This window comes from Homo sapiens, chromosome 4, assembly GCF_000001405.40.
Source record: "Homo sapiens chromosome 4, GRCh38.p14 Primary Assembly".
Lineage (NCBI taxonomy): Eukaryota > Metazoa > Chordata > Mammalia > Primates > Hominidae > Homo > Homo sapiens.
In genome coordinates, this window is record NC_000004.12 from 24,420,499 (window position 1) to 24,444,369 (window position 23,871).

A 23,871-nucleotide genomic window follows, 5' to 3' on the forward strand; every position below is an offset into this window, starting at 1 on the left:
TTTATAACTCTCTAGTGGGTTTTTAATGCAGAATGGATCATGTCCACACTCCCGGCTGGGATTCCAAGTCACAAAAGTCTTTCTTAATTTCTGATCCATACCTCCTGGTTGACTTACTCACTGTCCCCTGCTGAGATCCACCCTAGACTAAATTTTAAGCAGGCCAAGTTGATTCTTTCCTGCCCACACTTTCCACACAAGCCAGCAGCCCTCCCCTACCACTTGGCACATTCTCCAACCGATTCTTGCTGTTGAACCGGGGTAGCGTTCCCAGATGTCTTGGTCTGCTTGGGTTGCTATCACAGAAAACCTTAGACTGGGTAATTCATAAACAACAGAAATTTACTGCTCACAATTCTGGAGCCTGGGAAGTCCATGATCAAAGCACCAGCAGATATGGTGTCTGGTGAGGGCCTGCTCCTCATAGATGGTGCCTTCTACATGTCCTCATATGGCAGAAAATGTTAAAAGCATTCCCTCAAGCCTCTTTCATAAGGTCACTAATTCCATTCTTGAGGGCAGAGCCCTCATGATCTAATCACCTCCCAATGACCCCATCCTCTCACACTATTGCATTGGGGATTTAGGTTTCAACATATACATTTTGGAGCGACATGCACACTCAGATCATAACACTAGATTTAGAAAAAACAACAAACAAACAAAAAATCAAGATGAGACATCCAGTTGTATTTGAATTTCAGATAAACAGAAAATTTTTTAGCAGGAGTATGTCCCAAATATTGTATGGGATATACTTAAATCAAAACATTATTTATTGTTTATCTAGAATTCAAGTTTAATGAACAGTTCACTTTTTTTTTTTTTTTTTAATGGAGTCTCGCTCTGTCGCCCAGGCTGGAGTGCAGTGGCGCGATTTCAGCTCACTGCAAGCTCCGCCTCCCGGGTTCACGCCCTTCTCCTGCCTCAGCCTCCCGAGTAGCTGGGACTACAGGCGCCCGCCATCAAGTCCGGCTAATTTTTTTGCATTTTTAGTAGAGACGGGGTTTCACCGTGTTAGCCAGGATGATATCGCTCTCCTGACCTCGTGATCCACCCGCCTCCGCCTCCCAAAGTGCTGGGATTACAGGCGTGAGCCACCGCGCCGGGCCAACAGTTTACATTTGATCCAACAACTCTAGCCCAGAGGAGCCCTGGTCTTCCACGCAACAGCCCCTGCTGTGAGTCCTTCCTCAGCCACTGCCTCCATGATGCGTACCTGTCAGCATTCTTTCAAGACATCTAAGTAAGCAGTACTGAAATCTGAGAGTCAAATTTTAAGCTGTCTTGTGGTGTGCATACAATTAGTAGTACATGCCTTTATCATTTTGTTCTTGTTATGTTTATTTTTTGGTGATTCCTTATTAAGGACATATAATACTGCTTTTCCATGGTAGTGATAGAGAGCTCCTTATAAATTAAACTTAAGTTGTTGGTTAAAAAAAAAATAACGTAAGTCAGTTTAAGGGGAAAAATTAAGTAAACAATATTGCAGATGCTACTCAGATTAAACAATATAATGAGTCGTACTAAAAGGATTGAAGTTCAGGAAACAATTACCTAAAGCAGGGGTCAGCAAACTATGGCCCATAGGCCAAATCCGGCCCACTGTCTGTTTTTGTAAATAAAGTTTTATTGGGACACAGCCCACCATTCATTTATTGTATCATCCATGGCTGTTTTCATGCCACAGCAGAGCATACAGCAGAGTCACATAGTTGCAATAGAGACCATGTGGCTCATGAAGCCTATAATATTAACCTTCTGGCCCTTTACAAAAGAAAAGTTTGCTGATCTTTGACCTAAAGCATCACTCATCCTAGATTGTCAAAGGAAAAGCTAGAACGTTGAAAGTCCTCATGATGGAGATATTTTTGGACAGAGCAGATATATGGCACAATACAGTCTAAAGCTGACAGGGGCCTCCATTTCCATTTCAGATTCTTTTTATTAACCTCTTTCCCATGACCAGATCTGCCTAAGCTTTCCATCTTTCATTCTCATGTTTTAAGATTCGGAATAAAATCTGCTTTTTCCAGTAAGCCTTCCCTTATTAACTCAGACCCACCTACACCCTGAGCTACATAGTAGTAAGTGAATATGCCTTTTATTGTGTTCTCTTTAAAAATGAAAAAAAAAAAAAAAAGCTATTTGCTCACATAGAGAACTATGACCATATAAGGCAAGCCCTTCTTAATAACCCAACAACACAATAATTTAGTACAGAATTTGTTAAAGTTAGCATAAATAGGTAACACAGTAACTTCCATAATCATGCACAAATTACTTCTGAAACAATGGGTAGGCTCTGGAAATAAAGCTTTAATCAGTTGCAAATGCCTGAGTAAGCATAATTGCACCCCACTAGTTAAGCATCCTTAAGCATGATAGCGTTCTAATCCACAGGTCAGCAGTATTGCAGCATCCCATGCCGATTCACTAAGGTGGGAAGACATAGACACCTTGGATTTAAAATAAAATTAAAATACAGCCCCTATTATGCTGTTACAGATATTGAACAGTTGTAGAGATTTTCCCAACCTTGGAAAACACCATATATATACATGGTGTTTATAGATATAATACACACACACACAGACACAAAAACATTTGAATTCCAGCTCAGTGTCACCTCCTAAATGAGCCTTCCCACACTGGCATAGACAAAAATCATTGCTCCTCCCTCTGGAGGTCTGTAGATACTGGTTGCTCTCACAAGTCCAGTATTCACCAACTTGCCATAATCATGTATGTGGTGACAAATCAGTGACCCGGTTGCCTCCAAATTAAGACCCATGTTTGACTTGCTTTCTCCAGTGCCTAACACGTGATAGGGCTTGATATGTTTTTGCTAAAAGATGAGATGAAACCCTCTAAAGTCATTCCAAATTAGATCCAAGGAGAATATGACCATTCAGTTCTGTTAAACTAGCAGAATAAAACAAAACTAAATAACTATTTCTCACTAATCAAAGAAGTATTCTATTTGTAATCCAGCTTGGTTGACAAGTTATGACTATCAAAGCAAGATACATGAGCTGTGTTGGGGGGCTGGGGGGGTGTCCCATGACCTCTAGTCTTTCCCTTTTTGTATGCTATCATATAAAAAGTTTGAGTTGAGTTTTTGTCATTGGTTGAGTTTTTATCATCTGCCTAATGCTACTGCTTTTTCTCTTAGGAAATATGTCATTGTCAGTTATTTGCACATTAGTATGAATAAGACAATTCATTACCTGTCTCAGCCTCAATTCCAACTGAGGCTGTAAAAGCATTATTTCAAATTAAAGGAACTGACAACAAAAGCAACAGACCAGGGAAAAGTCAAACACTACCAACGCTGCCTACAAGTCAGGCCCATCTGGATGGACTGTGACCTTGGCTCAACTAGACACATACAAAATGGCGGCCATGATGGTGGAGATCGAAATACCAGTGACAATTCTTTTTGGCACCTTTTCTAGATCTGAGTCTCACTTCATTGATTTTAAAACATGATAATACAGTATTTAAAACTAACTGGTACATGTATAAAAGTAAAGATCTTGAGAAGAAATGGAAAACTTGGGGGAAACTTTTACTGTATCCATAAGAAAGACAAAAATATTCTAAAAAATGTTTTGTAGAGTACGTGATTGTTTTCACCCTTTACACTTCTAGAGCTGACTTTCTAATTTTGGCATTATTTGAGGAGCCTCTGTGGTTATGCCAATTAGGAAAAGGAAAAAAAAAATTGTATGAAAGAGCAATGCTATACACACACTTTTTTTTTTTTTTTTTTTTTTTTTTTTTTTTTTTGAGACAGAGTCTCGCTCTGTCGCCCAGGCTCGAGTGCCCTGGAGCGATCTCGGCTCACTGCAAGCTCCACCTCCCGGGTTCACGCCATTCTCCTGCCTCAGCCTCCCGAGTAGCTGGGACTACAGGCGCCCGCCACCATGCCCGGCTAATTTTTTGTATTTTTAGTAGAGACGGGGTTTCACCGTGTTAGCCAGGATGGCCTCGATCTCCTGACCTCATTATCCTCCCACCTCTGCCTCCCAAAGTGCTGGGATTACAGGCGTGAGCCACCGCGCCCAGCCGCTATACACACTTTTTAAGTAAACATCTGGAAATCGGAGAGTGAAGCAAATGCTAAATCCAGAAGGAACTATGTACTTTAGGTTCCAGTATCCATCCCAGTTAGAATGCCATAGTCCCAAGCGAGATGCACTATAAAAAGCATAATTTGAGCATCATCTCTCATCATTCAATATAGTTTTTCAACCCTTTCAAAATTACATTGAAAAATCTATATAATGTGTGCTTAGATTAATGAACTGTTTGAATCTGGATCAATAAGCACTCGAGGCTCTGTGCCGTTGACACCTGCTGGGAACATCTAGAAGAATGCTTCGTAGAGGGCAGAGCCAGTCGGCACTTTGAAACTACAGGGGTTCCACTTAATAAACAAGCAATCTAATATATGACCTCTGCAGATTAATTTTCTGAGAGCAAGCAAATAATCTGGATTCAAATTTTCCCTGATTATGCATATAATTACAGTATCACTTACCAATTAACACATTGATTTAAACCTTCTTGGGATTATGTATTTCAGAGTATAAAAGAGATCATCCAAACGCTCAATGCCTCTCCAGTTTGGCAAAGAATCACATGGAATGCAACTTCCCACCCATCTGATTTCTCTTATGGAAGAAAAAAATCTGTGATGGTAACAGATTACAGAGGATACCTTAAAATATCACGGGCCATAATTATTGTCTCAATAACTGGACCACAAGGACACACATTATAACATAATAGCCAAGTCTTGGGGAAACTTTGTCATCTCCTGAAATATTTCTGTAGAATCATATATTTATAAAACTGCTTCTCTAGCTTGGATTATTATTATTTTTTAATTTACTGCAGCACCCAGGGTATAATTTATCCACCATTAGACAGTTACATAAATAGACAAAGATATATGGTGGAGATTCTTCTCTACTTTAGACAAGTATAATAATTAATGTTAGTCGTTTCTTATTCCTACATAAAATTTCCCATTAAAAATGTTAATATGCTCCTTCATAAGTCCAGATAGTGATGAAAACAGAAGATACAAGGAAAATAGCTACATAGCATGCATACATATGTAAAAGAAGTTAAAAGTAATAAATCAACATGGCCAATATAACGAAGCCTGCTGTCCAACAGTAAAAGCTGTCAGAATGAGGTTTCATTATTAAGACCTTGATATCCAACCGTTGGGCTGAATAAAATCATTCATATCACTTCTGCACTTTCAGGGAGAGAATTCACATCTAGGATCAAATTGTCATGGTGCCGAATTCCTGATTTTTTCCCCTTGTGTTACTTTCTGAATAATTATTTGAATCTCCACAGGAAATGAAAGTTGACTAAAGCTAACAACGAAATAACAAGCTTTTACACACAAAGAAATTACTCTATGGTGTTTTATTTAACAATAAATATTTCAAAAAGGAATGCTTACACATTTGAAAAAATAAAGATCTGACTAATTCAAATTCCAGCCCTACTGTTTTCTCAGTAAGATAAGTAACACAAGCAATCATAAATATGGTTTAAAATTACAACGGGGAGGGAACACTTGCAATCAGTTAAGTTTAGACCTTGTCCTTATTTCTTCTTACAGAAGAAGGTAGAGAGGTAAAGCCCTCTAATATAATACTTCGTAATTCCAGAACATATACTATTGATATTGTGATTCTTTCTGAGACATAATAACTAATTATTCAGAAAGTGTCAGAAAATAAATCCAACTCCTCCTCTAACCTTAGTCCCTAATTTAAAGGGGAAGAAAAACAGGGCTTCTAAGGATGAAAAGTCCCAAGTGCCATTTAAAAATAAAAGGAACATTTCAAATAAACTTCAATCTCCTTGACAGCATACGAACAAAAACAGCAGCGATATACCAGCTTCTTCCCAAAACAAAACCCAGTGAAATTACTGAGAATTTCAGCTACTGTAATCCAACTATGTGAAACTCTGGGGGTGTCAGCAGCTACTCAATAAAAAGGAAAAGTGAAAATAGTACAAAAATGGTTCCTAATAGCAATAATGTATAGTTTTGTGGTCATTACTGGTCAGATAATAACCGGCAGTGACCTTAAAACCATGCATTATGGCTTAAGTATGGGCTAGTGCTCATTGCAGATGTGTAGCTTAGAAATAAGCAATACAATCTTGCCATAAAAGCTCAAACTGTTCCAAGTCTGGCTTGCGTGCATGGATTTTTCCCTCTCTAGTGTTATCACACCAGGAATCTTATAATGATCTGAAAAATATGTACCTTAGGGCAATAGTTCTATACTGAAAAGATAAATACTCGGGCCAAGGCAATCTAAAACATACACAGAGAGCGGGCTCCAGTAAGGCAGGTGAATGTTTTTACAACAGAGACTCGGGTACATTTTGACCTTTTTTAAGTTTCAGCTGTCAGGAAAGCTGCAAGAATCTCAGTTAATATGTTCTTCACCTCCGTGAAATGACATATCAATATTCCCATTCTGCAGATCAAAACACTGAGGCACAGGTAAACCAGATAACCTGTTGGGGAGGAAGCAAGGCAATGATGCTGAGAATTAACTGCTTTGTAGGGCAGGCTTAGGTTCCCATAGTAAGGTCAATTTTTTTACAATTTTCTAATGTCCTCATTACAAATTCACTTGTATTTCTTTTCTGCCTCCTGTAAACTGAGAGATTTTTGCATACTTAAAATATTTTTTTCAAATGTACAGAAAATGCTGCATCTATTCTTTATTTATTTTTTTTTTTTTTTTGAGACAGGGTCTGGCTCTGCTACCCAGGCTAGAGTGCAGTGATGTAATCTCAGCTCACTGCAACCTCCACCTCCTGGGCTCAAGCCATCCTCCCAACTCAGCCTCCCAAGTAGGTGGGACTACAGGCAAGTGCTACCATGTCCAGTTAGGTAATGTATTTTTGGTAGAGAGGGGTTCCACCATGTTCCCCAGGCTGATCTTGAACTCCTGGACTCAGGCGATCCACCCGTGACCTATCCAGTTTGTTTTTTCAGGTGAAACACTCAAGAGTCTGCAGAGCCAGTGGAGACCTGCCCAACGGTGCTGGATCTGCCTCACAGCTGCAGCGTGCCATAGGTGGGTGGGCCAATATCTGTCTAGAACAGGGGTTCTCAAGGGGCTGTGATTTTTGTCCCTTGGAGTCATTCTGGAGACATTTCGGGTTGTCATAACTGGAGGTGTGGCAGGAGGGGTGGTTACTGGCATCTAATGAATGTAAAGGTCAGGAGATCCACAAGAAAGTCTCCCACAATAAAGAATTATCCAGCGCTGGCCAGGTGCACTGGCTCACACCTATATTCCCAGTGCTTTGGGAGCCTGAGGTGGGAGGATCACTTGAGGCCAGGAGTTGGAGACCAGCCTGGGTCACATAGCAAGACCTCTTTTCTATAAAAAAAAATTTTTTTAATTAGCCAGCCATGGTGGCATATGTCTTTAGTCCCAGCTACTCGGGAGGCTGAGGGGTGAGGATCACTGGAGCCCAGGAGTTTAAGGTTGCAGTGAGCCATGATGGCACCACACCACTGCACTCCAGCATGGGTGACAGAGTGAGAGAGACCCTGTCTCCAAAAAAAAAAAAAGAATTATCCAGCCCAAATGACCATAGTGCCAAGACTGAGAAGCTCTGGTCTAGATTCCTTGCTGTTTAGAACAGGCGTCTTCCTGATATTCGCACGCATCCCAGCGCCTCTCCTGGTGTCTAGTGTATAGAAGACCCTCCATCAGTGCTGGCAGAGAGAATGGCCAAAGGCAGTCAATGGCAAGAGAGCCAAGATTTCTTCTTTCCCTCTCTCTCTCTTTTCCCCCTGCCTACTCCCTCTCTCTTATTTTACTCTCTATTCTTTCTCTTTGCTCAAAATGCTACATTTGGAGAATGGTTCACAGTTTCCAAAGCAGCTCAGCTTATGTGATCTTCAAAACAATCCTGTAGGGGTAATATTATACCTTACTCTACACAGAGCAAAACAAAAGTTCACAAAATATAAGGAATTTCTCAAAGATTACCTAAGTGACTAAGTTATAAAGGGGAAGCTGGATGCATGTCTACCTTCAGAAACAAGTGTTCTCTCCAAGTAAAGGACACCCTTTGACAGTACTTGGTCTTGTTGCAAGGAGTGGCTGGTACATCTTCTAAAATGATTCAAAACTATTCATAAGTAGTTGGGTAGCAAGAATAACATAATAGGAAGATATTCAGGCTGACACCCCTCCTCTCTTTCCTGTGGTGATTGGAAGCCCAACATTCCCAGACTGAAAAAATGAAATTGTATCTTTCTTATCATTAGGCATACAAATGTCTTATTTTAAAAGCCTCAGGCCATGGGATAATCTCAGGCATTATGAGGACAGAGTACAGTTGACATTGGACCCAGTACCACAAGCCATTGACCTCTGGAAGTGATGAGAGACCCAACAAAAGGTCAGAAACTGGTGTCAGATTGCTGCCGGCACATGACAAAATACATGTGAAATTTCTCTGCAAATTCCCATCTATTTGGCCTGGAACAGTGGCAGAGTACACCCTTGTGGTCAGTAGCTGGCCTGAGCAGGCACTGGGCGAGGTAGTAAATACACAAAAGTGGTAAAAAAAGAAAACTCAGACGTGAGCTGTGTGCGTGTGTACACATATTTATAACGTCCAAAGAACTCGTGTCTATTTTTCTGTGCTGTGTATACACTTGCTCACACTCTCTCTCTCTCTCCCTCTGTTTCACACACATGCAACACACACACACTCACACAGTTTTTTATATTTCCTGAGTTCTTTGGTATATCAGGCCCTTTGCTAGATGCCAAAGACACAAAGATGAGTTGGTCTCCTGCGTCACCCCCTACAAGGCCTAATGAGGGAGACAAAGGCATATTAGCAGGTGAATCACATTACAAAAAGGCCAGTGTTCAATGGGAGATCAGGAAGCTTGACACCCACAGGGGAAGGGAAACAAATAACTCTGCCTAAAAAGGGCCAGAGAAGGGACATTGAAGCTAGGACATGAAAAACAAGAAGGGGTTTGCCAACAGAAAAGCAAAGCAGCCTGAGGGCAGGAGGGGAAAGGCATGGAGCAGGCAGAGCCATGTGCAGGGACAGTGAGAATTTTTTTTTTTTTTTTTTTTGAGACAATCTCGCTCTGTCACCCAGGCTGGAGTGCAGTGGCATGATCTTGGCTCACTGTAATCTCTGCATCCCAGGTTCAAGTGATTCACCTGCCTCAGCCTCCCAAGTAGCTGAGATCACAGGCACCCGCCACCAGGCCTGGCTACTTTTTATATTTTTGTAGAGATGGGGTTTCACCATGTTGGTCAGGCTGGTCTCAAACTCCTGACCTCAGGTGATCCACCCACCTCGGCCTCCCAAAGTGCTGGGATTACAGGTGTGAGACACCGCACCTGGTCTGACAGTGAGAATTTATCTGCATGTGACTTCAGAAGAGTTTTCTTGAGATCCAGTCCTGGTCCTATGTAAGAACCTGATGAGGAAGATTGAGGTGGAACTGGAAAAAGCCTTACATGCCAAGTGAAAGAATTTAGATTATCCCCTAGGACCCAGCACTTTTTAAAACTTTTCTGATGCTGCCCAAAGACACACATTTTACATCACAACCTAGCACATACACGCAAGTATCTATAACAGAAATAAAAAGTTCACATAACAACACTAGCCCTTTCTATGTGAAATTCACCCCGATATTTTGTATTTCTTTTTTTTTTTTTTTTTTTTTGAGATTGAGTCCCACTCTGTCTCCCAGGCTGGAGTGCAGTGGCGCGATCTCAGCTCACTGCAACCTCCGCTCCTGGGTTCACGCCATTCTCCTGCCTCAGCCTCCCGAGTAGCTGGGACTGCAGGCGCCCGCCACCACGCCCGGCTAATTTTTTTTTTGTATTTTTAGTAGAGACGGGGTTTCACCGTGTTAGCCAGGATGGTCTCGATCTCCTGACCTCGTGATCCCCCTGCCTCGGCCTCCCAAAGGGCTAGGATTACAGTATTTCCTATTTTTTTATTTTTGTTGCAACCCCCTAAAATGATCTCATGAGCAACAAATCAGTTGTATCCCACAGTTCTTCAAACCCTGCTATGGGCCACAGGGAGGCAAGCAGGGTGTTTTTTTAACTGGGAAGTGACAAAATCAGGTATATTTAGTGTGATAATTTCAGTAACAAGGTGAAAGGGGAACTGAACTAGGAAACCCTGGAGCCAGGGAAGCCTGCTACAAGGCAAGAGTCCAGAAGAGACATGGTATGAGTCTGAAGTAAGGCACAGACCCTGAGACAGAAAGTAGGGGCCGGGCGCGGGGGCTCAAGCCTGTCATCCCAGCACTCTGGGAGGCTGAGGCAGGCGGATCGCCTGAGGTCAGGAGTTCAAGACCAGCCTGACCAACATGGTGAAACCCTTTCTCTACTAAAAAAAAATACCAAAAAAGTAGCCAGGTGTGGTGGCGGGTGCCTGGTAATCCCAGCTACTCGGGAGGTTGACGTGGGAGAATCACTTGAACCCGGGAGGTGGAGGTTGTGGTAAGCTGAGATCACACCGCTGCACTCCAGCCTGGGAGACAGAGCAAGACTCCATCTCAAAAAAAAAAAAAAAAAAGAGAAAAAAAAAAGAAAAAGAAAAGACAAGAAAGTAGGACCAAGTCCTGGCCATTAAGTCACAGAATTGACTGCCATTGGTGACTTGCTACAGTGGGGATGCAGGAGAGATTTCTAGATGGAAAGATTGATGGGATGATGTCAACATTAACTAGGATAGAGAACACAGAGAATAGAACATGTTTGGGTGATAGGAGGTTCCCTGTTTGTACTTGGTAAATATGAGATGTATACAGGAAACCCCAACAGAAATGTCCAGTAAATGACTGGATAGAAGAATGCAAACTCTGCAAAATATAACTGAGATAGAAACATGGATACAGATGAAATTAGCTGAAACATCATCATTAAAGCCTCCAAGTGGATAAAATCTCTTAGAGGGTCAGGTGTTAGAAAAAGCAGGGAGAATAGACCAGTCACCCTGGGATCGCCAACATTCAAGGACCAGAGAGAAGAACCAGAAAGACCGTCGAATGTGCTGGAAGAAAGTGTAGTGGCAAGTGGCAGAAGGTACTTTGTGGCCTCATCATTTTCCAACACAATACTTTCCATTCATCTCCATACATATTTGTGTCCTGTTTCCTCCACTAGAATAAAATATGCCGCTGAATCTCCAGAAGCTAGAATAGGGCCCCTAGCACATGGTAGGGATCAATAAATATTTATTGAGTAAGTGAATGGATAAGTACATAAAATCAAGCCAGGGAAGGAAAGTATTTCAAAATATGGGAGTTGTCAACCAAGGCAATTGCTTTAAAGAATCAAGAAAGAGGGCTGAAAATAGGTCATTAGATTTGAAAATTAGGTTGTTGGGAACCTTAGAAAGATCCATTTCAATAACATGTTAGGATAAAAGCTAAATGGTTATGGCTTCAGGGAAAATGGGGGTGAGGTCACAAGTTGCAAGGGAGTAGGAAGAAATGTCAAGAGAAGGTTAATTTGGAGGAAGAGAGATGAAAGCAATCAGAGATCATGTATAGACTCAGGTGAATAAGACAGAGGAAAGAAAGTGAAGTTAAAAGAGGGGGAAAGCAAAATTGTAAGGTAGCGGTAAAGGTGGAAGGGGTTAGGAAGTCCAGTATACAGGTGAAGACGTTGACCTTAATAAGCTTTGTCTGTGACAGAAAAGAAGAGGAGGAGAAGATGTGCCTGCCATGGGTGATAAGGATCTTTTTTTCTCTCTCTGTGAAAGATGAGGGAAGATTTTCTGCACAACCTGCACAGGGTGAGGGAGAGCTCATTTTGGATGTGCTGCCATCAGGGATTGGAAGGTAGCTAACCGAGGAGAGCAGAGGGATTTCATGAAGCACCAAAGACTTAGCGCAAATCAGATAGACTGACTTCATATGGTGTCAATCAGCATGGTCATGGAACTCCATTTAGCGATGCATAGAGCGCCAGAGCAGATGCAGAGAAAAACAAATTGGACTCACCCAGCATCCAGAGCGTGGTCTAATGAGAGGTGCCCTGGAAGAAAGCCTCCCTTTCTTCTCTGCCCATAAGCACAGTTAGCTCCAGTCTTAGCCCCACTGGATGGGGTTGTGTGATCCTGAGTGTGTCACCATACCTCTGTGAGTGTCTTGTCTACAACTGGGGACTGTAATATCTTTCTAGTCTCACTGGCTTGTGGTGGGGCTCCAATCAGATAATTGATTTGAATAACTGTTACCAACTCCTAAATGCTGCTCAGGTGGCCGCCTTGCGGTTCCCCTGAACCAAACTTCTGCCATCTTTCATAATGCAGCTCTGGGAAGACACACCAGCCTCTACCAGGCACCTGGCAATCTCTCTTTTTGCCCCATGGGTGTCACATTTTTGACCTATAAAACAAGAACAATTTTCAGACGAGACCCTAAACTCGTTCAGTATCTATTTAAATTACTTCCCCATGAAAAGAACTTCTGCCGACTCTAATGCCTTAGAGATGGAACCAGGGAGAGAGAAATTTGCTTTTGTTAGCGGACTCCATAATTAGATGGAGATATGTCCACCTGGGTAATAGCTAATGGGTTTTTTAAACTTTTTATATAAATATTTCAGTTTCCTTCCCTGCCAGATTGACTTTTTCTCAATATTAATTGCCTCCATAGTCTTAGTCTATAGCAACATTTCCAACCACTGTCCCTGTATGTTTTATTTCTTTCTCAGGAGGCTGCTATTGGATGACTTCATTTAAATTTTTTAATACCATGAATAAATATTACCTTACTTCGCTCTGGGGGGGACAGGCAATTCTCGGGAGGGAGACTGTCAACTCCTCAGCAGTTTACTTCATGAAATAGGTTACTGGGTTTTATTCCGGCCTACAAGTTTCATAAACTAGGAAAATCCCCATCTCTTTTAACCCATGCTAATTATCATTATCTGCAGGAGGGGCATATAAACTCTCATTTTGAAAGCTCCTTTCTACAGGCTTTGAGTTTATGAATGATGCCTCTTGCCTAAAGGATTATTTGACAGCCTTTTAGATAACGACTTTCCTCTCCTTGTTGATTCTCAGATCCCACATGACGGGGTAATGTGGGATGCTATGTTGCAGCCATAAATTACTCCTTTTTCATCATCTCTCTCCTCTGCCAATGCAGAGGGTCATCTTAGGCCCCCTATACTTTTTAAATAAGCTCTAACTCCTCATCATTCCTGAGCACATGTTCTGTTCCCTGGACAGCCCGATTTTTATTGCTGAAACTCAAGAAGCTATTAAGTCTCCTCAACCTGGCAGGGCCCCAGGACCAGATGGTGTTCTCCTGGTTCTTATAAAGCCTTTATTAACAAAAGGACACCACAAGCCTCGCTGGCCGCCATAATGACTGCTTTTCCCACCCACGGAAGACCCTAGCTGGGGAGGACAACCTGTTGATTGCTATTCTTGTCATCATTGTCAAAACATCTTGCCATCTCCACGTTGCCCTGAATTCTTTTCTGATCCTTTGCAGGGTACTGATTAGAACTGCTCTCTCTACCCAAAAGAGGAAAGAAAGAAAGGAAAGAAGGAAGCATTTAAACTAATGAGAGATATAAACAACAGATGACAGAGGGGGCTTTGCTATGAACTCACCACCTCTCATACGGATTTTTAACAGTTTGGCAGTGATGAGGCCCCCTCAGGAAAGTCGGATCTGTTCATTGCTAAGCTAGAATCATGAGATTTTTCACGGAGGATTTGCTTTCAGACTGAGGTAGCTTTTCATCATGAGCTGATGCAGCATGCCACATGTGACTCTGAGTGTCACAGCTATATCAGGGTGCCCGGGAGAGCTGAGAGAGTCAGTAATGGTATATAGAATTTCTCACCTCTGGATCACTAGTTCAAATGCAAAAGGCCATAAAAAGCTGTTATCTTCTGGCGGACTCAGTGAAAGTTTCCAGGCGATATCAGCTGCCACAAATGGCGCTCGCGTGACAAATGCTCGGTGCACAGGGTCTCAGGGTGGGGCCCCTGGAAACTCATGCTCTCTAAGGTCATGGTCGGCTTGGGAAAGCAAAAGGCTCAGACAGAATAAGTGGCCCCTTTCCACCTGTTCTGTGATCTCCATGGGGAATGGATTTTGCCAACATCAGATTGTTCATAAACGCAGATTGCCCCTCGATGCATTGTTGGGATTACTTTAAAAGTTCAACAGCTTCACTCTTGCTCTCACCTAATTCTTTTGTCCATTCATGACAGGCCCATGGAAACCTTTCAGATTCCTCCAAAACTCATCCACCTCGTGGGGAGAATGGGTGCTGTCAATGACAGCTGCCCGTACATTTTGTTCAGAAATGTTAACACACCAGGGAATTTTCTCAGCCCTGGCACTTTACAGCTCAGGACCTTTTCTTGCTGAATACTTAAGTTATTTCTGGAAAAATAACTTTTATTTCCAAAGAAATACGGCAGGTGACACAGAAACGTCCCTTCTTGTTTATTCACTGTCTGTCGTAAGGTTGGCTGTCTTTGCTTTAACTCTTTTTCCTCTTTCTTCACGCTGTTGGGCTTCTCCTGCCCCTTTCTGGGACCTTCTCTAGAAATACAGCCCTATACCTAGACTTCAGTTCCTGCCTTTGAAGGCAGAACTGTTCTTCCCTCAGGTAGTATTAGAAGGACAGTGAAGCACCTGGAACTCATCCTCCCTGTATCACCGAGGGCCCAGCAAGAAGTCTGATAATGGCACAATGACATCATAAATTACATAAATTAATGCTCTGCCCTCCAGTTGCACTGGCATTTGCTCACTTCTGCAGACAGGCCATGCCTTTGCCCACACTGGGTCTTTGCACAAGCTGTTTCCCCTGCATGGAAGCCCTTCCTACTTGCTGTGCCTAGTAAACTCCTGTTTTCTCATCAGATCTCACCTAGATCATGGCTCCCTGGAGGAAGCTCTCCCCAAGGCTCTCACAGATTGGGGACTTAACATGTTTGTGACTCAGACAAATGTCTACCTCCTCCACTAGATTGCAAGCTCCAGAAAGGTGAGACAACCTCTCCTCATTTCACTGCCTCACCTTTGAATCCCAGAGCTAAGCCCACAGCTGGCACATTTTCAGCACCCTGTAGATAGGATTGGAATGAACCAATCATTTCATTTAACGTTTACAACCACCCCACTAAGAGGTGATTTTTTAAAATTTCCATTTTACTAACAAAGATACTGAGGTTCAAGGAAGACAAATCACTTGCCCTAAACCACACAGCATATAAGTAGGCAAAAGCAAGATTTGAACTTGAGACCAAGAGATGCCCAAGCCCTGCTTTTTCTGCAATTTAGTTATGACCCTGCTACCGGGCCTCAGTCGCTAATACTGAGCTGTTAAAAAAATAACTGTGAAATGTCCTAGCCCCTGATGTGTACCACTCTTGTTTGTCAGTTTAGTAGCATGGGCTGCTAGGTTGCATCCACCCAACTCTATACACATGAGCCACTGTCACTCCTCAACCACTATTCCACTGAGCCAAATTAAGCCTCTAATTCCTTATATTGCATATTCCTTAGATATTCCCGATCAATATAATGTTCCCAGCCAGGATAAAAGTGAAGCCGGTGAGATACTGGCCTTGGATACAAAACTTAATGGGTCACCAAAATCTCAATAAGCAAGATAGTATTTTAATGCAATGTATAAATTTGACACCAAAAAATTGATGATGAGCAAAATGTCAAAATTTGAAATAAAGACAGGATGGGTGTGACTGATTTTTCCACTGCCTCAGGCTCCAATGTGGCTCGACACAGCACCGCTCTGTGCAGCTCTCACAGGTGAGCAGAGGTGGCCAACGAGTTGACATCTATGAGCCATCCCATAGCCCTGGTCACAGAGCTGACATCGATTGGCCATCCCATAGCCCTGGTCACACAGCTGACATCAATTGGCCACCCCAGAGCCCAGGTCACAAAGCTGACATCGATTGGCCACCCCAGAGCCCGGGTCACACAGCTGACATCGATTGGCCACCCCAGAGCCCGGGTCACAGAGCTGACATCGATTGGCCACCCCAGAGCCCGGGTCACATTGCTGACATCGATTGGCCACCCCAGAGCCCAGGTCACAGAGCTGACATCGATTGGCCACCCCAGAGCCCGGGTCACAGAGCTGACATCGATTGGCCACCCCAGAGCCCGGGTCACAGAGCTGACATCGATTGGCCACCCCAGAGCCCGGGTCACAGAGCTGACATCGGTTGGCCACCCCAGAGCCCGGGTCACAGAGCTGACATCGATTGGCCACCCCAGAGCCCAGGTCACAGAGCTAATATCTATTGGCCACCCCAGAGCCCAGGTCGTAGAGCTGACAGCGATTGGCCACCCCAGAGCCCAGGTCGCACCCAGGAGTGTCTGGCGGGCTGGCTCTAGGGAGACCTCAGCTGAGCAGGGGGAACACATGGGTATTTTCTTTGCCAACATGTGATCGTGTTTGTTCCTCCCCATTAGATGTGAAACTCCAAACCTGAAAGTCACAAGTTCTCCCTTTCTTTCAAGACTGGGCTTTTGTTTACTCAATAATAAGCAAATACGCATGGCAATGTCAGATTGGGATACGATCTTTGAAGGAAAGACAAGGGATGATGAAGGACTGCTTCATGGCACAGCCTCAGGGACCACCTCTAGCCCTGTGTTCTGTGGGAACAGCAGCCCCTGGAGGTGAAGAGGCCACAGCTCTAGGGTACAGATGGACAGAAATGGAGGTTCCCAGTGGCCACGTTAGCTGGGGTGGTCAGGGAGGTGCTCTCCAAGGAAAAGACAGATAGCTGAACACCTGAAGGGCAGACATGAGCCAGCTCAGTGCTGAGGGAACGGGGGGTCCTAGGGCTGCCATAGGCTTGGTATCCAAGATTTAGAAGGGAGACATGAGTAGCCGGACACAGTGACCCAGGTAGAGAGGTGCAGGAGATGAGGCTGGCAACCCCTCGGGGCTCTGAAGACTTTGTGAAGGACTTTGAGTTAATTCTGTAAGTAAGGGAAAGGCACAGGTTTTTTGTTGTTGTTGTTGTTGTTGTTGTTGTTGTTGTTGTTGTTGTTTTAGTTTTGGTTTTTTGGGGGTTTTTTTCTTTCTTTTTTTTTCTTTTCGAGATGGAGTTTTGTTCTCGTTGCCAAGGCTTGAGTGCAATGGTGCGATCTCAGCTCACTGCAACCTCCACCTCCCAGGTTCAAGTGGGATTACAGGCACCCACCACCACATCCAGCTAATTCTTTGTTTCTAGTTTTTTTGTTTCTTTTGGTTTTGGTTTTGGTTTTTAAGTAGAGAAGGGGTTTCACCATGTTGGCCAGGCTGGTCTCGAACTCCTGACCACAGGTGATCCACCCTCCTCAGCCTCCCAAAGTGCTGGGATTACAGGCCTGACCCACTGTGCCCGGCCTACAGCAGGGTTTCAGCTGGAGAGTGGCAGGCCCATGCTCATTCTGGTGATGAATAACTGCAAGGAGCAGCACAGGAGGGACAGATCCAGCAAGAGGACACAGCAGAGTCCAGGATTGGACCAGGGGTCGCCAGGGAGATGGAGAAAGATAACCTGACTCAAGACCTAATCCAGAGGTAGCACTGATGACAGCCCTTGGGGATAGATTTGATGTGGAGGAACAGGAAAAGGGAGGATGATCCTTGGGTTTCACCTCACACAACAGGATGGAATTGCTGGGGTAATAAAAGCCTGAGTAAGAAACAGATGTGAGAGTTGGGGCTGGAATGAAGGGACCATTATCCCATTCTCTCCAGAGCAGGGATTTTCCACCAGAGGCGAGGGTATGATACTAGAGAAGAGAATACATTTCTGTGGATAATACCCATACCACTGGCTGAAAACAATTATCCAAAATTTGAGTCTCCATCAATCCTCCCACTTGTGTCTCACTCATGGCAATAAAGTTTATTCCCAATAATAATATTGCAATATTTTATTCATCATCCTTGTGTTTTAGAATTACCATAGCAGTGAAATTTATATGCAACAGCATTATTACAATTTTCGGCTACTAATGAAATTATTGTTTCTGTTTGCGATGTGTTTTGGCGCTATAATGATAAACATTTCCTCTCAAAAATACCACTGCAATGTTTATGTTCTCAAAACCTGCCATAAATGACAAATTACAGAATGCCTTTGAGCAGTTAAACTCTCTTCTTGGAAAAGCTGGGCTTCTCATTGCTATCATGGTGGGATCTGAGTCCGTTAGTGAAAGGGATTTGAAATACAAAAGGTTGAAATTCATCATCTAGTATACTGGCCTCCAAATATTTTTGACCCTGTGTCTCATTAGTCAAATAAAAAAATAAAGTGGAGCACATACCCCCAGAATGTATTTTTTAATTTATCATATAATGGAATGGAATCTATTATATAATTTATTATAAATTAGACTGCACTAATATATTATGCACATTATAACACAAACGAAAAGGAACTGGAAAAGGATGAGATACAAAATAAATTGACATAAAAATTCCAGTATCTCCTTCCCTCTCCCCCACAGCTTTGCGACCCCCTGGGTAAACGTTCTGCAGTTTGGAAAGCACAGCCCTAGAATATTGTCCTCCCTGCATTTCCACACCCATCTCTGATTCTTCTCCATCCTTCTCCTTCTTTAAGAGAAGAACTGATGCAATAATGGCTTTCCAACCCCTAAGGCTAAACGCAGCACCCTAAGGAAAGGCTCAGGTGAGAGGAGGTAAGAGAACCATTTTCATCTGTTTTAAACTTGGGGGCTTTGAATGAGTTCAAATGAACAAACAGCTTTGTAGTTAATAAGACCAAGTCTGAAAACCACTGCTCTACTGAGCAGCTAGGACTTATGCTTGCCAGTTAGAAGTCATTGGTATGCTCCCTTCCATTCTCTGCACTTGCTATAATTTTTTTCCTGTAATCTTCACTTCTTCCAGGTTCAAGGTTAAAAGTCATTCAAGGAGTACCCACTGACTATTTATAATGTTTAACTGGTATTGGGCAGACTGTCATACCTAGGGACTATATGGCCACCATCTGGGTACTACCAGCAACTGCTTTCACGTGAAAAAAAGATTTCCAGAAGAAACGGGAAGAATTCCAAGACAGCATTAGAAAGCGTCTCAACAGTAGGCATAGGGATTCTGCGGTAGCTCTGTAGAGACTTCTGTTATAACCACTCTGATCTTTGCACATCAAAAATCCAAGATAAATCCTGATAAAATGACCAGTTGATGGTTATACAAATAGGCTCTGGGGTTCTAGGCTTGGATTTACCATGATTTTACTGTGCATTCATGGGAACATGACTCAACCCTCAGAGCCAAATCCCTTAAGGTCCAAGAAGGAGACTTTTTCTCCAAAAGGAATTCTTCCAAAAGAGAAGCCAATTCAGTGCTTTGCTCTAATTTCTCTCCTCATTATTCAAACTGTTTTGGAGAATCTTCCTAATCTTTTAATCCCTGTTCAAATCCCTTGCCCTATATTAAGCACAAAAAGAGGTCTCCTTCTTTTCTCTGAGTCCCTATAACAATAATTATGTGTGCAATTTGTTTCACAATTAATCCTAGAAGGTCTATGTATTGTTGTTCTGAACTGTTATCTCAATATTGTGGTGGTGATGGTGAACTTTTCATACATCCCTCCAGTGTTCAGAGGTGGACCAGAAATATCTGCAGGGCAGGAAACTCTTCTACATCTTCCTACAGGGGACCACATGGGTTCTGGCACATAGTAGGTCCTCAGGAGACATTTGTTGAATTTTTCTTTCAAGCTCCTCATCGGTTTTTTCCTTTAATTCCCATGGAAGGGAAGAGCAATACCGACCCCATGGAGCTGGGCTGAGGTTCAGCCAGTTCACGCAAAGTACAGAACATGGCACATGGCAGGCCACAGTTGGAAACTGACACATGCCTCCCACCGACATATTTATTTCAGAGTGTTCATTACTTTTCAGATTTCTTGGCCGGCCGCAGTGGCTCACGCTTGTAATCCCAGCACTTTGGGAGGCCGGGATGGGCGGATCACTTGAGGTCAGGAGTTTGAGACCAGCCTGGCCAACATGGTAAAACCCTGTCTCCAATAAAAATAAAAAAATTAGCTGGGCATGGTGGCACATGCCTGTAGTCCCAGTTACTCGGGAGGCTGAGGCAGGAGGATAGTTTGAGCTGAGGAGGTCAAAGCTGCAGTGAGCAGAGATTGCACCACTGCATTCCAGCCTGGGTGACAGAGTAAGACTCTGTCAAAAAAACACAAACAAACAAACAAAAAAAAACAACTCTTATTTAATTGCCAACATTTAAAAATCAGGAAATTTCATACACACACAAAATCAAATCAGCCAACCTGGAATCTGCTTCTGTTGAAAACTCAGCACTCATCACTGATGCAGCATGTCTACCTAGCAACGATTGACGGAGAAGCAGCTGCTTCCCCCAGAAAAGCATAGGTTTTTCTGGCTCACAGGTTCCCCACCATTCCCAAGCAATCTAACACAACATTAAGCTAAGATTTGCAATAACATAAAAACTCTTGTTTCTTAAAAACAGTCTTCAGTTCATCAGTTGTTTGTTAGAGAGATACTGTGGAATGGTGGGGACTGTGACAAAGGGACAAATACAAGCTCCAGTCATCACCCACCCAGAATGTCATGCTGCCTGGCTCCTGTAGTCACAGAAGTATTCCACCCTAGCAGGTGCTTACGAAATGATAGCTTCCTGACCACTTCTTCTTCTAGCTTTGATTTATTCTGTCTTGTAATAACCTAATTGTTTCTGTCCTTTCATTTCCCCTTCTGATTTGTATTCCCCTGCCCCCTTGTGCCCGTGGGGTGCTGCTGGGAGGACATCAGAATCAGACCTTACCTCATTCTCAGAGTCTAAGCTACTGCAGTCTGACTGCTGAAGAGCAAGTAAATAAGCAGGACCATCAGGGCCAGAAGTAGGGAAGAGGTACCACCCGGAACAAAATTCATTCCTGAGGCATGTTACAGGACATAGGAGGAGGGACAGCCACCCTGAATGTCCTGTTGCTGCCCCAGCCCAAGGTTGGCCTCACATCTGTCACCCCTACAGCCCTGGCTATTGTCCAAAAAAAAGGAAAGAAGGAAATAGGGAGGGAGGAAGAAACAGAAGGAAGGAGGGAAGAAGGAAGAGGAGGGAAGGAAGAAAGGAGGAAAGGAGGAGGGGAGGAAAAGGGTGGAAGAAAGGAAGGAGAAAGAAGAGAAAGGAGGGGAGGAGAAGGGAGGCAGAAACTCTGAGCTCTCAACAACATGCTCCTCAGAGAGATGGTTCTTAGCTCAAGAGCATGCTGCTCCCTGATTTAAGCAAAGCTACAAATGCAAAATGCAGCTTGTCCTTAAAATTCAGTAGCATCAGAATGAAAAAGAAATGCTAGGCCGAGTTGTGACATTTAAGTGGTCATGCATTTTTCAACGTATCAGTTATGCAAAGATGTTTATATTCATTTTCTCCTTGGTCGTGTTTCATTTAAATAGAGTGGCAAAAAGTCTTCAAAAAGTTTAATTAAATAAATCAGAATCGTGGAAATCAAAGTTAACTGAAATAGACTTTAGAGTTCAAAAAAAAGTAGAAATATAAATTACATAAATAATAATGGAAAAATAAAAGCAGATGAGTAAACTAAATATTCTTGTTATCTCTACCTCTTGCTGTTTCACCTCCAAGTGTATTTTTATCTTGTATTATATTTCTAAAAACTCAAAAAGAAAAATGTCAGTAGATGACAACATGAAAAGGTTCATGGGTTGCTGAGCTAATCTAAAACCTTTAGCAGTAAGGGGAAAAAAAATCTTCATTTAAAGAGGCAATTTATTTTTTAAAAAATGTGGGGCTGCATGGATAGTTTTAATTCGTAATCTTACAAGCATGCAAAATGAAGTTCAAAAAGGTCTCATAGAAACCCCAGATAAATTTAAGATCATCCATTTCATTCCTATGTTCATAAATAACAGTTTTAATATGTAAGAGAATGACAGCAACAATAATGACCTTAACTTGGGTAATCCATTTGTTGACAGCAGGTGATAATTCGGCCTTCCTGATAGTAATCTGTTTTTTGGCAAACAAGAGAGGGGGCTATCTGCCACATACATTTATTTTTATGGGGAGGACATGTTTTATAAAGCTGAATATGGGACAGTAAAGGTGTGGAATTAATTGTCCAAGTTGCAAAATATGTTAGAGATGGTATGCTAAATCTACGGCACACAGTGGCCCTGACATGATTAAATGTTCACTTCTATTAAGTAACCACGAGCCTGTATTTCCAATTATGGTGGTGAACTGCTTTCTGCTGAGTGGATTAGCTTAGTACTTCATTCTGCTGGTAGTTTTATGATCTGAGATCTTTAATTTTCCCAATTCAACTCTTAGGGACGCAAAGACAAGCTGCCTGACTTTTAAATAATATATTCCCCTTTTAAATTTCTGCCTTCTGCCATTTCCTAGGAGCGCCATTTCCTGTCACCATAATTATAATAATTTGTATGTAGTTCCTGGGATCACATTTCTAATTGAGTCCTAAATTGGTTAACCTCATGAAGTTATTAATATGCTTTTTTAACCTGCACAAATTATATATTTGTCTGGTTGGTCAAATAACGTTCATCATTACACACATTCCTTACCTCTCTTCCTTCAGTTTTAACGTCACTATTTTAGTTTGAAAAATGTATGGGTTTTTTTTTTTTTTTTAAATAATATACCACAAACTTCAGAACCGTAAAGAGTAGGGAAGGAAGGTCCAGTCCAGTGACCAGTGAAAGCCCAGGATCAGCAGAATGAGAGATGACGTCACACCTGAACACCAGGAAACAGCTCATCTGGCTCTGGCACTGGGGAAGGGAGAATGTGGAAACATAAAGGTGGGAACTGAAAGCACAGGCAAGAATGACCAGGTCATGGAGGCTGTGCAGAGTGTCGGAAACCACACCAAAGGCAATGGTACCCACCAGAGGGCTTTTGGTTTTTGTTTGTTTTTGTTTTTATATATTTATTGAGACAGAGTCTTGCTCTGTCACCTAGGCTGAAGTGCAGTGTCAAAATCTCGGCTCACTGCAACTTCTGCCTCCTGGGTTCAAGTGATTCTCCTGCCTCAGCTCCCTGAGTAGCTGGGATTACAGGCGCCTGCCACCATGCCCGGCTAATTTTTTTTTTTTTTGTAAATATGGGGTTTTACTATGTTGGCCAGGCTGGTCTCGAACTCCTGACCTCGTGATCCGCCTGCCTCAGCCTCCCAAAGTGCTGGGGTTACAGGCTTGAGCCACCGCGCCTGGCCCCCACCAGAGGGCTTTTAAACAAGGAATTACCACAGCCAGATTTGTTTTAGAAACTTTGTTTTCAGGTGGTTCAATTAAGAGTCTACTACACTTGCCCAAGCAAAAAACAAACAATGAAAGCAAGGAGTAAAGTTGTTGCAAAAAGGACAAGTCAGCTTTGAGAGTAATTTCGTCGTTGTTGTTGTTATTGTTGTTGTTGTAGAGAAAGAGTCTCATTATGTTGCCCAGACTGGAGTGCAGTGACACAATATAGGCAGCCTCCGCCTCCCAGGGTTCAAGCGATTCTCCTGCCTCAGCCTCCCAAGTAGGTGGGACTACACAGGCACACACCACCACATCGGTTAATTTTTGTATTTTTAATAGTGACAGGGTTTCGCCACATTGGCCAGACTGGTCTCAAACTCCTGACCTCAGGTGATCCGCCCCCATCGGCCTTCCAAAGTGCTGGGATTACAGGTGTGAGCCACTGCACCCTGCCCCATCAGAGGCTTTTTAAACAAGGAATTGCCACAGTC

General features: G+C 42.8%; 1 protein-coding gene and 1 long non-coding RNA gene across 12 annotated transcripts in view; one reads left to right on the plus strand and one right to left on the minus strand.

Annotated features, from left to right (window-relative positions):
• Window positions 1–23,871, minus strand: part of PPARGC1A (PPARG coactivator 1 alpha) — a 680,885-nt gene that overhangs the window by 628,478 nt on the left and 28,536 nt on the right. The gene's annotated exons all lie outside the window — the stretch shown is intronic.
• Window positions 18,725–23,871, plus strand: part of LOC124900678 (uncharacterized) — a 30,104-nt gene continuing 24,957 nt past the window's right edge. The window contains exon 1 of the long non-coding RNA XR_007058074.1: window positions 18,725–18,784. This is a non-coding gene — a long non-coding RNA (uncharacterized LOC124900678). The remainder of the gene's footprint in view (window positions 18,785–23,871) is intronic.